General features: G+C 39.1%; 1 long non-coding RNA gene across 5 annotated transcripts in view; it reads left to right on the top strand.

The window, feature by feature from the left end:
* Positions 1–15,577, top strand: part of LOC102724146 (uncharacterized) — a 65,230-nt gene that overhangs the window by 30,656 nt on the left and 18,997 nt on the right. For 2 of the 5 annotated variants that reach the window (XR_002957404.2, XR_007063229.1), the window contains exons 3-5: positions 6,203–6,284; positions 13,919–14,070; positions 14,811–14,974. This is a non-coding gene — a long non-coding RNA (uncharacterized LOC102724146). Of the gene's footprint in view, positions 1–6,202; positions 6,285–13,918; positions 14,786–14,810; positions 14,975–15,577 lie in introns of those variants that run through there. The other 3 variants (XR_007063230.1, XR_007063227.1, XR_007063228.1) reach the window with 3 other exon arrangements.

Here is a 15,577-nt window from a genome sequence, read left to right as displayed (position 1 = left end):
CACAGAAGTGCTATAGGAGAGGTATAAACAAAGTATTGGAAGTAGGACGGAAAGAGAAAGATAGTTCTCTTTAAAGTATATGAAGAGATTTGGGAGATGGGCTTGGCAATAAGAATAATGACTATTGAGCCCTCTCTATCATCAGCTACTGTGCTAATGGGATTTAAAGGAATTCTCTCACTTAATTTGGCCAACCCTAAAAGGCACATAGATGACCTGGGATTTGAGCCCAGTTCATCTAAGTATGGAATTCCTTCTTACAGAGATACTGCAGACCTTAAGATAATCTGCTTATTAGCTGTGTTTTTCTCTTTTCAACTCATTCTTTCTGTGTTATATATCAACTAGACAGCTCTCATCATTGTTTACTCTTTCTTTTTTGAGACAAGAGTCTGGCTGTGTCACCCAGGCTGTAGTGCAGTGACATGATCTCAGCTCACTGCAACCTCCTCCTCCCGAGTTCAAACGATTCTCATGCCTCAGCTCCCAAGTAGCTGGGATCACAGGGACCAGCTACCATGCCTGGCCAAGTTTGTATTTTTAGTAGAGAGGGGTTTCACCATGTTGGCCAGGCTGGTCTCAAACTCCTGACCTCAAGTGATCCCCCTGCCTCAGCCTCCCAAATTGCTAGGATTACAGGCGTGAGCCACCGTGCCTGGCCTGTTTAGTCTTATTCGTAGCATCATCCCCAAAATATGTGCACATAACAAAAACATTTGAAACCATGAGGGAAATCTTATAGTGCACCAGACTTGAGAATGCATAAGTTTTTTGTTTGTTTGTTTATTTGTTTGTTTGAGATGAAGTCTCAATCTTTCGTCCAGGCTGGAGTGCAGTGGCACAATCTCAGCTCACTGCAGCCTCCACCTCCTGGGTTCCAGCGATTCTCCTGCCTCAGCCTACCTGGTAGCTGGGATTACAGGCTTGCACCACCACGCCTGGCTAATTTTTGTAATTTTAGAAGAGAGGTGGTTTCACCATGTTGGCCAGGCTGATCTTGAACTCCTGACCTCAGGTGACCTGCCCTCCTCGGCCTCCCAAAGTACTAGGATTACAGACGTGAGCCACTGCACCCGGCAAGTTTTTAGAATAAAGTATATTACTTGGTTTACTGTTTAAGAGAATTGTATTTTATTTATTTAATCTAAAATTGATACCATAAAGTAAATGCATATGTTTAGACAAAAAGGGAAAGTGAATCACTTTTTAAATTCTTTCTGTAGACCATCAAGCTAAGTAAGTTACAGCAAGTCCATATATCCATAGAGTCCACAAAGGATCCATAGCCTGGGCAGGGTGCTACTGGGTAGAATTGGGGCTCTTCCTGGAAAGCTAATGTGAGAGTTTTGGACTCAGGAAAATGCTTTTTTGGGAAAACAATATTATAGTTTGTATAATTTTTATTTGGAAATAAATAACATTCCCTTTGCTTTCTTTTGTCTTTTATGAAACAGCAGTATTTTTATGACCCTGGAAATATGAGAATGTTGACATGTTGATTTGTTATTTTCTATCTGTAGTAGATGACAGATGATCCTAAAAGTTACACTCTGCTATTTTAGGCAGGGAGGCTGAGTTAAAATTAAAACAATATCAAATCTTAAAAAGTGAGACATTAAGTGTTAATTTTGAGGGTCACTGATTTAAATTTCCTTAGGTGCTGACTGTAATTCTTTTGAATCTTTTAAAATTTACATTTTCACAGAAATAAACTGAGGAACACAATTTGCATGCTTGGAAATTGGTGACCACTTCTAAAAATTGGCCATTTCAGCAGAAAGAACATAAACTGAATAGATTATCTATTTGACTACCTCACTTATGTAAGATTTATTCTTTGAAGCTATGTTGGGAAGTTTTTTGTTTGTTTCCTTCCTTCCTTTTTCAAAACCTGGGCAGGGGGAAAGATGATATGCTGACTGACAAACAGGGGTATAGATTTGACTCTCACTTGACAGTTAACCTAGATACTGTTTTGGGAATATATATATACTCCCCCACACATATACATACCATACATGTATACACACATGTACATACATACATTAGATTTGATATTATGGTATAGGAAATTAAAGAAATTTCCTACTATCCTTAAACATCTGGGCAGATATAGGCAAAAAGTTGCACTGATTAGAATTGGAGAGACAAGGCCTGGCACGGTGGCTCACGCTTGTAATCCCAGCACTGTGGGAGGCCGAGCTGGATGGATCATGAGGTCAGGAGATCGAGACCACCCTGGCTAACATAGTGAAACCCCATCTCTACTAAAAAAATACAAAAAAAATAGCTGGGTGTGGTGGCACGCACCTGTAGTCCCAGCTACTTGGGAGGCTGAGTCAGGAGAATTGCTTGAACCCAGGAGATGGAGGTTGCAGTGAGCTGAGATCATGCCACTACACTCCAGCATAGGCAACAGAGCGAGACTCCATCTCAAAAAAAAAAAAAAAGAATCGGAGAGACATACAGATTAGTTGGATTATGTGACTGATCCAGAATTAACCTACAGATAGTGACTTGGTCTTTAGTCACTGTAGCAGACTTTGAGTTTTTTTTAAAAGGCAATCGCAATGGTATCTCCTATCTATATGTTCCTCTATAACCTTGCCACTATCCAAGAGGTGAAGTCTGTGTCCCCTTCCTGGGCCATTGTGGCAGCTTCAAATAAGGTAAGTTCATAAAAATGGCATGCATATCCATTTGTTTTCATGGGGCATTCACTATGCAAACAGTGACTATGATGTGAAGTAGCCCAAAAAGTCCATAGAAAGACCCATGTGAAGAGGAACTGAGTCTCCTCATTACTGTCACAGTTGAGCTGACAGCTGACAGCATCAACTTGCCAAGGACATGAGTGAGCTGTATTGAAAGTGGACCCTCCAGCTTCCAGTCAAGCCAACCCAGTTGAGGCCACATGAAGATGAGCTACCCAGCTTAGCCCAGATTGCAGATTTTTGAGTAAAGTAAATGACTGTTGTTGTTTCAAGTCCCTGCGTTATGGCATAGTTTATTATAAGGCAATAGATAACTAATACAGTGACCTGATAATTGCATCAGAACATGACTTTGGAAAATAACTTTCCTTTAAATCCCTGAATGTGCCAACCAGGGAATATTAAGAAATTAAGTATTTCCTATGCAGGTAATATTATTGCAATCCCAGTATTTTGACAATGTTAAAGTGTTAAAGATAATTTTTAGCTATATTCTAAAACTTCCACCTGAAACCACTCCTGACAGCTACAGGACAATAGAAATCACCTAAAGTAAAAGAGATATATGGAGAAAAGGCCCAGAAAAAAAGCTCCCCAGGAACCCTGGTTTTTGAGGGCTGTATAGAGAAGATGAAGTCAGCGAAGTTGGCATAAAAGAAACTGTGAAGTAAGCAGAATCAGCAGAGTTTGTGGTACCTAAGAATCCAAGGAAATAAAGTATTTCTTTTTTATTTTTTTTCCCCTCAGAGATTCTTGTTATGAGGAAGAGAGTATTTTAAGGATGAGGCATCTGTCAGAGCTGAGCATATTTTATTTTTATAAGAAATGATAATTGAAAATTGGGATGTTGTATAGATAATACTGTATGTTAGTAGAATGAAGGTAAAATCAAATTGATTTTATGTGTGAGGGATATTTTAAAAAGTAGTATATATACCTGCCATTTCAAAGTCTACAAGTATAGTTGAGAAATACATTTTATGCATCATGGCACAGCAGTGATATGGAGGAGAATATAATTAGACTTAGGAATATATTATAGCTCAAAGACAATTAAGAACTATCTAAGTAAGATGGTTGGAGGTGGGGCTAAAGATGTAGGAGTCAGAATAGCAGAGAACAGGATAGGAACAGAAGGATCGATGTGTGCAAGAAATCCATGTAGATAGATAGCAATGAAGCCATAGGTACTATAGTTACCACCAAGGATCAATATAGTAGCACAAAGGATAAAGATTTGCAGAGAATTGAAAAGCCTGTGGAAGATTACCTGATGAAAGATCTTTGAAGACATGGTAGATTTTTGTTCAAGTAGCTCAAAGAGTAAGGAAAGCCTTGAAAGAATTAAAACCTGAGATATTACAAAGAGATAATCAATGATATCCAAAAGTAGTCTGAGTTAGTGAGAAATGCATTTTTCTAGAAACAGTTAATTTTAGCATTTCAATATCAAATATGTTTATCTGATATTACTAGAATTTTGTAATTCTATAGCTAGTGAACCATCAAGCTTGAGTAGTACCAGGCCAAAGAGTTGTTCTTTTTTATATAGCATAGCTTTATATGATCCAAACTTTCCACATAATAATTCAACCCTTTATTTTAATTGTGCATATATAAGTTTTACAACCTTTCTATCTAGCCTTACTCCTATTTTTCCGTTCACTTTAACTGTGAAAAAAATCAGAGAATATTAATTTTTCTAAGTCTTAAATTTTCCCATGTGTTCAATTCTTTTTTCTAGATGTCAGAACTAATCTTGTTGGCCTTAAGTTTAGCTCAGAACTGGGCTCTGATCCCATGACTTGTCTGGCCAAAGAAACTCCAAATCATTGGCTAACTTTTAAGAGATCAACAGATGTTCCTGCTAACATAGTTTGTTAGTCTCCTGAGTCTAAAGGCATCCAATGGAGGCAGAATTAACAACATACTAGATTTCCAAACCAAAGCCTGATGCCAAAGAGAAAATAAACAACTCCTAAGAATGCGAGAATGTGAAAAAACAAAAGTTGTTAAAGGCTTATCCATACAATATTTTCCTTCCAGTTAAATTCTAACATCTGAGATACCCTATCATAGCTCCAGCAACCAAAGTGTCAATTCTCATCTGACATTGGCTTTTAGAATACTCACATCAGTATACCTGAAAGCCATAATTGCTTGAATGATTCAGATGATAGCCTAATTATTGTATTGATTAAGCCATTTTGTTTTGATTGATTTGAAGTCATACATTTTTAGAGAGCATAAATTTTCTTTTGAAACAAGGGTGTAAGAGAAACCTTAGATTATTTGCTGCCTACCAACAAAAAACCTTCAGTGTTTGCAAAACTTGCTGTACTATGCTACAGTGGGTAGTCAGCTGAATTGTAGGTTTTGTTGTTGTTTTACATATTTGTCTTATTTATGAAATTCATATATTATCAGAATATATTTTTAGTATTACAAGCAATTATGTGGCACAAAGGTTTTAAGAACTAGCTGAAGGGTGCTGAAGAACAACATAAATGGGACCACATCTTTCTGAGTAGGTGGAAAATGAAAGATATATTTTGTTACCTAGGGTTTTCCATTGCCTCAAAGGTCACTCTTATCTGTGACTCCAACTCTGTGTTTCATAATTCTGGGATATTTACTGCAGGTTAAATATAACTGCCCACTAGAATTTCTTATAGTTATTTTTACCTTTTCCATCTAAAATAATCTTCTAAAATATAAGTACAGGTCAGGCATGGTGGCTCACTCCTGTAATCCCAGCACTTTGGGAGGCCGAGGTGGGCAGATCACAAGATCAGGAGTTCGAGACCGGCCTGGCCAACATAGTGAAACCCCGTCTCTACTAAAAATACAAAAATTAGCCGGGCATGGTGGTGTGCGCCTATAGTCCCAGCTACTCAGGAGGCTAAGGCAAGGAAATCACTTGAACCCGGGAGGTGGAGGTTTCATGAGCCGAGATTGTGCCACTGCACTCCAGCCTGGGCAACAGAGCAAGACTGCATCTAAAAAAAAATAATAATAAAATAAGTGCAGAACATCCTCACTTAAAGGTATAACCTATGTTACATAATTTTATACTTTATGATTAAATTTAATAATTTAAAATTGCTTTAATGATTTAAACTTTATATTGAACATTAATTCTAATTGCACAAAATGGCATATGGAATATAGATCACTTCTCTTCAAATAACTAATGTTAATCTGGGTGCTCTCATAAGCAGATGTCAAGACAGCATTAAACGGTCAAGTATTTTAATGCTGGTGTAAAGTGAAATGGCTGTGTTAATAAAAAACAAGGAGGGAGCCAGAGAAGGCTGGAAGACAGATTAGACCAGGATGCAAGTCTGATCCTAGGCAAAGGAGAGAAGAAAAGATTGGATAGTGGAAGATTGAGTGGCAGCTGTCTACACTGCAGCACAGTCACCAGGAGGTTCAGCAAAGCCATTGTTGAGTTCTGGAGCTCACAAAGGAATTCTTTGTCTTCTTAGGAACTGATCTGCCTTACTATTTCCACAAAAACTAGTCATCAGCAAGAAGCTACCTGTGGGGTGCACATTCTCAGGTCAAATGGTAAGGTGGGTTTGAAGTTCAATCCCTGGGCCCTCAGTTAACGTACTTTCCCACTGTTACGGTTGTGTTGGGCATAGGCTCATGGCTTCCACAACCACCAAGTCAGCATCTCCAAACTTGGCCTCCTTTCTGATTTCTGCTTCTAAGCTGGTTCAACCACCTACTGGAGAGCTCAATCTGAATGATCTTTTGACCCCTCAAGTTCAGTAATTCTGTGCATTCCAAAATGAGCATAGTAGTTCAGTCCTAACTCATACCACCATTATCTCAAATACCAAGGGAATTTTTTACCTCTTCTCTCCATTTTTTTTCCCAGATCCAAATAACTAGTGGATTCTTTTGATTCAATCTCTACCCCGTCTTTTCCTTCTGCCCCTTCTATGGGTTTTCAATGCACCTGCTCTAGTTTAGACTCTCACTACCTTTATGGCACATTGTCTGCACTATTGGCCTCTCTACAGGTGTCCCCACCTGCCAGCTCTCTCCTCTCTAATTCACTTAAAGTACTGTTGCCAGATTAATCCTTTTTGAAGGGCAGTGTGATTGTATTATTTCTGTTCTACAAAAAATCAAAGAAACCTTCGATGGCTCCCAATTTCTTACAAAATACACTTCTGTATCCATAGCTTGTCATTCAGGGACCTCCATGACCTGGCTCCAGTCGAGCTTTTTAATTTTACCTCCTAAAATTCCTTTTACACACACTGATTTTAGTCTTCTGAGTTACAGCAGGAACACAATTATGCTCTGAACTTTCCTACCTTTGAGAGATTTCCTCAGAGACCTGCTTTTATTTTCTCAGTTAGTTCTATCTCTGTTACTTCCAGACCATCAACCACAGTCCAGCTCAAACGTTACTTTGAGATCTTTCACCAAACCCCCTAACCAGAAATACCCTATTAGCTGACATTTGCTGGTATATAAGTTATACCTCCAGTTTATAATGAAATTCGTGTATGAGAATGGGGAAGAGTGCATATTATCCAACATGTATTGAAATTGGTAGTGTGAGGAAAAATGTAGTATTTGGCCCATGTAAATACTGAATACTGTAATGTAGCAGGAAGGCATATGTTCGGAACATGCAAACCTTTTAACCTTTAACCCTGAAAAATGGAAATTACAAATTTCAAAAGAAATGTTTTGTCGTCACTGAACACTGATATATAGCAGGAAGCTACCCAGCAAATTCACCAGTAATTGGAGATCGTATAATACAGTAAAGCAAATGCCACTACAGTATTTCAGTGAGTAGTTTAAATACCAAGCCACAATACAAACTAAATGTGGCTGAATTATTGTACAGATAGCCGAAGTACATACAGGAAAATAATATTTCATTAAGAACCAGAAGTATAAAGCAAAGGCAAACAAATTTTAATGTCATATTTATGCATGAAGCAAGTATTTGTTGAATATTAGTACCTGACACAAGACCATAAAGATACAAATAAATACATTAGCTTGTATATGATGTTGCAGCAATGCCTTTGTTGCATTTAGCTATGTTTATCAGTCATAAATTTAAATATGGAATGTTTGAGGAATAACTTCAACACCACATTGGATCAGCTTTGTGTTCTGTAGGGTTTTTTTTATTATTATTTGTTTGTTTGTTTGCTTTTTGAGATGGAGTCTCGCTCTGTCGCCCAGGCTGGAGTGCAGTGGTGCGATCTTGGCTCACTGCAACCTCCGGCTCCCAGGTTCAAGAGATTCTCCTACCTCAGCCTCCCGAATAGCTGGGACTACAGGCACCCGCCACCGCACCTGGCTAATTTTTTGTATTTTTAGTAGAGATGGGGTTTCACCATGTTGGCCAGGCTGGTCTCAAACTCCTAACCTCAGGTGATCCACCCGCCTGCCTTCCAAAGTGCTGGGATTACAGGAGTGAGCCACCGTGCCAGGCCTAAAAGTTTTTTTTTTTTTTTTTTTTAGTACAACACATTCTTGCTTGACTGAATATTGAACTGTTCCTCCATTCAAAAGCAAACATACTTGCTAAAAAATTTAAATCTCAGTTATGATAAGCTCACAACCAACATTAAACAGCTCACTGTCTTAAAAAAATTATCTTGTAAGGGATACGTTTATCTCCGTGGGGCCATAAGTAAAGTTTTTTCATGAGTAAAAATTCTGAGACATCCTATCCTACCCTGCGTCTTACTATCACAAACTTGAAAAAGTACCTTTTTTCATTATGCAAATGTGTTTCTAATGAAAAAGAAACATTTCCTTTACAAGGCACTTTTCTGTAATGCCCAAAAGTCGGTCGTAACCCTGCTGAAATCAGCCCGTAGTACACTGAATCTTTCTTCACTATCAAAGAGTAAGTTTATATGCATCTGTTTCATTCATAATACTTGGGATCTTGAAATGGTCAAGATCACTTATAAATTTTAAAAGCCAAGGAACTAAAATGGTGTCTGTGAGTGGGACTATTTATTTTTACAAATGATATAAAACCATCTCTGGCATCGTACAAACAGATCTCAACTAGTAGCAGTTTGATGCATAACTTTGTTTTTTGTTTTGTTTTTTAACAGACAGGGTCTCACTTTGTCACCCAGGCAGGAATGCAGTAGTACCTTCTTAGCTCACTGTAGCCTCAAATTCCTGGGCTCAAGCAGTCCTCCCACCTCAGTCTCCTGAGTAGCTGGGACTACAGTCCTGAACCACCACACTTACCTAATTAAAAAAAAATTTTTTTTGTAGATGTGGAGTCTTGATCTGTTGCCCAGGCTAGTCTTGAACTCCTGGCCTCAAGACATCCTCCCACCTTGGCCTCCCAAAGTGCTGGGATTACAGTTGTAGGCCACTGTGCCCAGCTCAAAACTTCTCTTAAAGCAGAAAGTGAGAAGCTTTAAGCTACAGGAGAATTTCTAAATTTCAGACAGCACACGCTTACATTGAAATGTATCCCAAAACCTTGCGACCAGTGCTCGAATTATCTATGATACATAGGCCAGAATTTAAACATTTGAATTCTCAACACAGAGATCATCTTCTATACATGACAAAGAGATTTACAGCTGCCAAGTCTATGAGTCAGTCATGAGACAATTTGTTGAACCCTTTCCCATGATCTCAGTATCTTTGGCCTTTAGTGAGTAAAAGACTGGGAAGTTGGAGAAATAGCAATATTGCCAACTAATTTAAAAGATTAAATATTACATTTCTGCCTTTTAAGAACCAGGATTAAAAGCTTGAACTCTTTTTATTCCAATTCTAAGACATGCAGATAAAGTTTAGTGACTTTCTTTGTTTTGATCCCTGGATTATCACAGATGTCCAAGGGATGGTTTGACAGTGCTGTATTTCAATAGATTACTGCATAGTATTTTGTGTTTAACTTGTTCTGGATGGTGCACACTTTTTCTTGCAAATGTTATCAGATCACTTTGACAATGACGGAAGAAGAAATTCTGTATTTCAGAAGTCCTGTGGGAAAAAAAGTCCTACAAATATTTAGTATCTTCTATATTCCAGGCATTGTACTGAATATTTTCATGATTTAATTGAAATGGACTCAACTTACATCACAAATGAGAAGTATATATGTTTTCTATTGCTGTGTAACAAATTAAGCAAATTATTATGAATTTAGCAACTTAGAGAACACCATCCACTTATTAGTGCACTATTCTATAGGTCAAAATTCTGGGCACAGTGTGACTGGATTCTCTGTTCAGGGTCTCACATAGCCAAAATCAAGGTATCTTATGGACCTAAGAGTCCTTTTCCAGGCAAAATCTACTTCCTATGGTTATAGAGATGAGGCCTGAGTTTCTTTGCTGGCTGTTAGCAAGGGGGAGTTCTCAGCTCACAAAGGCTTTCTGCATTCTTTGCCACAAGACCCCCTCAATCTTAAAGCGAGCGATGGAGAATCTCCTATGTATTGAATACTGCTCACACATCAAATCTCTCCAGGAAGGTCCCAGTCCCTTTCAAAGGCTCACCTGATTAGATTAGGCCAGCACAGGACAGTCTCTCTATTTTAAGCTCAACTCATTTGAGAATTTAATTGCATCTACGAAGTTCCTTCATGGTAGCACCTAAATTAGTGTTTGATGGAATAACTGGGAGAAGAGGTGTGTATGCTGGGGTGGGGAATCTTGGGAACTATCTTAGAATTTTGCGTATCACAGTCTCACAAGTCTGCAATCAAAGTGTTGGTGAGGCTGTGTTCTCAAAGACTTAAATTTACTGAATTGAGTAGCACCAATTTTGTGCTCAGCTCTACACCAAGCTCTATACAGAAACAAAAAGGAGATAAGCTTCATTTCCTATGCTGGGGCTTACAGTGTTGCTAGGGAAACAAGGCTCATACATATTAACAGACATAATCTAAGATGGCATAGGATTGCATCAAAATTAAATGACTATAAGGATATAAGTGACATGGGAACTGGGAACTCCAAAGAGGGAGGACAGGTTGGGGAAAGCTTGCTAGAGAGGCTTCAGATAAGTTTGGATTAGGTAGGATTCAGAGATGTAGGAAAAAATGAAAGAGGCTGGGTGTGGTGCGCATCCCTATAATCCCAGCACTTTGGGAGGTTGAGGCAGGAGGATCACTTGAGTCCAGGAGTTTGAGACCAGCCTGGGAAATACGGCAAAATCCTGTCTTTACAAAAAATACAAAAATTAGCCAGGCATGATAGCGCACACCTGTAGTCCCAACTACTGAGGTGGGAGGATCACTTGAGCCCAGGAGGCAGAGGTTTCCGTGAGCCAAGATCACACCACTGCACTCCAGCGTGGGTGACAGACTCTGTCAGAAAAAAAAGAAAAAAAGAAAGAAACATTCAAAAATGGAAATATTTTTAACACAAATTTGTTTTTAGGACTATCCCAACCTTTCACAAGACAGTGAGGAGGGCAAATGAATGATTTGTGTTAGGGAGAGAGTTGTAAGGCATTTACTTGACTTAATCATTATGAGGTTACCACTGCTCTCATTTTGTCCAGTAGATTTTAGGATAATGGGGATTAAAATATCCACATGAAACAAGGAAAACAAAATGCCAACATCTGAAGTGTGATCAGTGTCACAGTGCAAGGTGTTAACATAGGATCCAGTTTTCTAGTTTGTTTAAAAAAAAAAAAATCCTACCAAGAATTTTAAAAACTATTTTATCTCAAAAAATTGCAGCTAGCCTTACATGTAACTGCAAATGAGTATTAGAGACAACAAAAGAGGATATTGATTTTCCATCTAATTACAACATATCAAAAAGTATAAAATGCTTCATCTTATCTTGCAATTAGGTATGCTGAAAAAGTACTTTTTGGTCTACACTTTCTTTTGAGTCCCACAATAAGTCTACCAGTAGAAAGCATGGTTTATACATAACTACATTCTATTGTAATAACATATCTTCAAAATTATATTTCACTATATGTAATGGGACAATGTATCTTAACTGGCTGTTTACAAATTGCATTACATCATACAAGGCAATATTATCAGTTGAGAATGCTAGTAATTGAATGTCATAATTCAATCATTTATGACCTTATCATTTCTCAGACTCTCTTACAAACCAGTTTTCTACAATGAACTATTGGACTGAGTTGAAAGATAGAAATTCTCATAAGCTGAAATCTACTTCTCTCAGCTATAAATTCTTTGGCTAGTAAATACAAGCTCATCTTATGTACATACAGTAAGTCACTACAGTTCTATTCAACTATTTTAGTATATCTTGAATGTGCTTTCTTTCTAACTGAAAAAAGAATTGTGCTCATAAATTCTCCCTGAACTCCTCAAAGCCATAGTGAACACTGCCTACAGAGAATCTATTCTGTAGATGCCCTGGGCTCAATATTGATTGTGACATTAAATAAATGGGTTTGATCTTCTCTTTTAAACACTCAAGGCTACAAGTAATGTAATCTCAAAGTAACAGAGGAAAAATAGACATAGGGATAGGAAATCTAGGCTTATATCTCATTGCACCAGAAAATAGCCCATTTGAAACCTCTATCTGTTCTCATGTCAGCTGGGAGAGTGGGATGGGGCCTCTCATATTCACTTTAAGTATGGCTAGATGTCTTAAACCCGAGGGCTTCCTTATTTTTTTCGTGAAGTTTACACATTACTCAAGGGCACATGACTAGTGGCAAGTAGGTTTAAATTCAGCTCACACTTGTCTTGCCAATCTATATGCCTGCTTGAGCCTGTATCTGTTTGAATAAAGGAGCATCTTTTTTCTCATTCACATAAAGGCTCTTTATGGACTGGTTCTGTCCCTACTAAAGAACACCCTGCTGGCTCCCAAAGCAAATGCATTAGCTCTGCCTGGAGGATCTTGAACAACTGTGATACATGTCTTCACTCTGCCTACTCTAGCTAAAACTGTCTTTCTCTGTGTGAAGAAGAAATTTCTCAATTCATGTTGAAGACAGTTCTCAACTCCCTTTAACAGGGAAGAATAGAGAAAGCATCCCAGCTTCATTAAAAGGCTATTGTTTATGTTAATTCTCTCTTTCTGCCATAAAACTAAAAAAAAAAATTTAGCTCCAAGACAAAACATGATGTCATTAGTCCCTTACGTGAATTCTCATCACCTGCTAAATGGGTTCTACTGACTCCCAGACACGCTTTGTTAACTCCATAGTTGACAGTTTTATTCAGTCGCAGGAAATTCTCCTTTACTTTCTCTGTGTTTCAAAATCTGTCTACTCCTACCACCACCATTTTTCAAAGCTCAGGGCAAATTCTGCCTTATCCAAGAACCATTTCATTTTTGCTTCTTCAATTCTTTAATGTTCTTTTGCCCTCTCTGCTCATCTCCTTAACACACACCCAGTCTGTAGCAAAAGACCATACATCACACGTCTCAGAGCACAACATCGTGTATGTAGCTGGGGTGACAGCAGCAGCCTCAGTAGGAAGAGAGATTGGGAGAAGAGGCAAAGTTGGCAGCAGCAACAGCTTCAGGGCAATGCCATGGCAGTGAGGAGATGAGGCATTTGTCGTAAGGAACAGCATTGCTTCAGTCCATAGGCTCGCAGCAGAGACTGCTGCAGTGTCCATGAACAAACATGGGGAGTTCCTAAATCCCTGTGATATGCCTGGGAGGAGAAAAGAACTCAGAGTGGCTAGGAGAATAGCTTTCATCTGGTGGATACTCATCTGGAAACTCTGTAGAGCATCTACTGTCCTGCTCCTCTGTTTCTCATAACCCCTAGCCTCAGGCTGATGAACGGGGAGTCATGGTATAGATCATCACCAACATGCCCACATTGCCTTTGTGCAATTCTGTCACCCTCTCAAGCTCTTTCCTGCTTTATTTTACTGTGCATTTATTTTCTTCTCCCATTTCCATTCCCTTTTCTGGCACAATATTATTCCTTTTCCGTAAAAACAGGTTTAGTCCTTGAATGTGAGGATGATGTGGGTAAAGCTTGGGGGAGCCAAAAAAGCCCAAGCACACCAAACTACTCTATCCACCTTTAGGGGCATATGTCCTGAGGTTTTCTCTGCTGTCTGCTCATATTAGTTCCTCTGCTTTAATTTTGTTTTCTTCCAATGTTACTTGCATGACTGCTGGCAGCATATTTAAATCAAATGCTAACTGTTTCTTAAAGTATTTCCTGAAATATGATTTTTTATTTCCTTTTAACATGCACAGACTTAGAAGCAACTTGAGGCAGTATGGGAGCATAAAAGACAGCCAGGATGCCAAAGTCTCCGAGCAGTGAGTAGGAGTCTAAGAAGTTGGAAAGATTCATGGACCTCTTCCAGTATGTGAAAGCCACAACTGTGGAGCAAATGGGAAAGCAGGTCAGGATCCAAGAATTGTGACCACAATTTTGGATATAATTAGGGCACTGAGACCAGTCGGGAAGAAACCAAGGATGATCCGGGTATAAACAAGGAGCAAAGCATGCTGGAGAATTTTGAATGTTGAAGTGCATGTCCAGCTCTAGATGAAAGTTTCCTGCTAAAAGAGTTAGTGCCTGTGAGAGAGTCCCAGACATTGCAGTCCTCAGTTTGTACTTCTTTCATAATGCTTATGTTGGGCTTTGAAAGTGCTCATTTCTCTTGCTAGTTTGTAAACTTCTGGAGGCCAAAGCCTGTGATTCACCCTTGTTCACATCACCTGCGTTGCCTAGTGCAGTGCATTTACACGTTGAAATTATGGACTTGCACAGTGATAAAGTTTGGATATGTGTCCCCCCACAGATCTTATGGAGGTGGGGCCTGGTGGGAGGTGATTGGATCATGGGGATTGAATTTTCATGAATGATTTAGTGCCATCCCCTTGCTACTTTCCTCTCAATAGTGAGCGAGTTCTTGCAAAATCTGGTTATTTAAAAGTGTGTGGCACCTCCCTTAACCCGGCTCCTGCCCTGGCCATGTGATGTGCCTGCTCCCTCTTCTGTCATGATTGTAAGTTTCCTGAGGCCTCCCCAGAAGCTGAGCAGATGCCAGCATCATGCTTCCTACACATTCTGCACAACCATGAGCCAATTAAACCTATTTTCTTTATAAATTACCCAGTCTCAGTTATTTCTTCACAGCAATGTGAGAACAGATTAATACACAGAGCATCCAGAGAGAAATACCCAGCAATCAGTTGGAGCTGAAAGGCCCAAGAAGGAGAGGGAATAGAAGGATGACATGCATATTTGGATGAAATTCACATATAGGAGGAATCCAAAAAAGTGTCCGTAGAGATAAAAAGGTAATACGTTGAGGGTTGAATATAGGGGTATATAAATTTATTTATTCAACCAACATTTATTAATAATTACAATGTTCCAAGCACCGAGCTAGGCACAATTATACAAATATACTTGAAGAGTAAGCAATAGTCTGTACCATCGAGGATCTTCAGTCTTCCAATTGTAGTGACAGTGTAGAAAGAATCCTCAAGGCCGGGCACAGTGGTTCATGGCTGTAATCCCAGCACTTTGGGAGGCCGAGGCGGGTGGATCACAAGGTCAGGAGTTTGCGACCAGCCTGGCCAATATGGTGAAACCCTGTCTCTACTAAAAAATACAAAAAAAAAATTAGCTGGGCGTGGTGGCAGGCACCTGTAGTCACAGCTACTCAGGAGGCTGAGGCAGGAGAATCACTTGAACCCAGGGGGCAGAGGTTGCAGTGAGCCGGTATTGCACCACTGCACTCCAGCCTAGGTGACAGTGAGACTCTGTCTCAAAAAAAAAAAAAAAAGAAAGAATACTCAAGAAACTGGGTATGACTAACAATGATATACAATACTTAAAAAAATGAAGACAAAAGAAAGACAACTTTATTTGTCTGTCATAGGATCACTGTTCACCTT

The sequence above is a fragment of the Homo sapiens genome, chromosome 12 (assembly GCF_000001405.40).
Source record: "Homo sapiens chromosome 12, GRCh38.p14 Primary Assembly".
Classification (NCBI taxonomy): Eukaryota; Metazoa; Chordata; class Mammalia; order Primates; family Hominidae; genus Homo; species Homo sapiens.
This window is presented reverse-complemented; position numbering and strand designations above follow the sequence as displayed.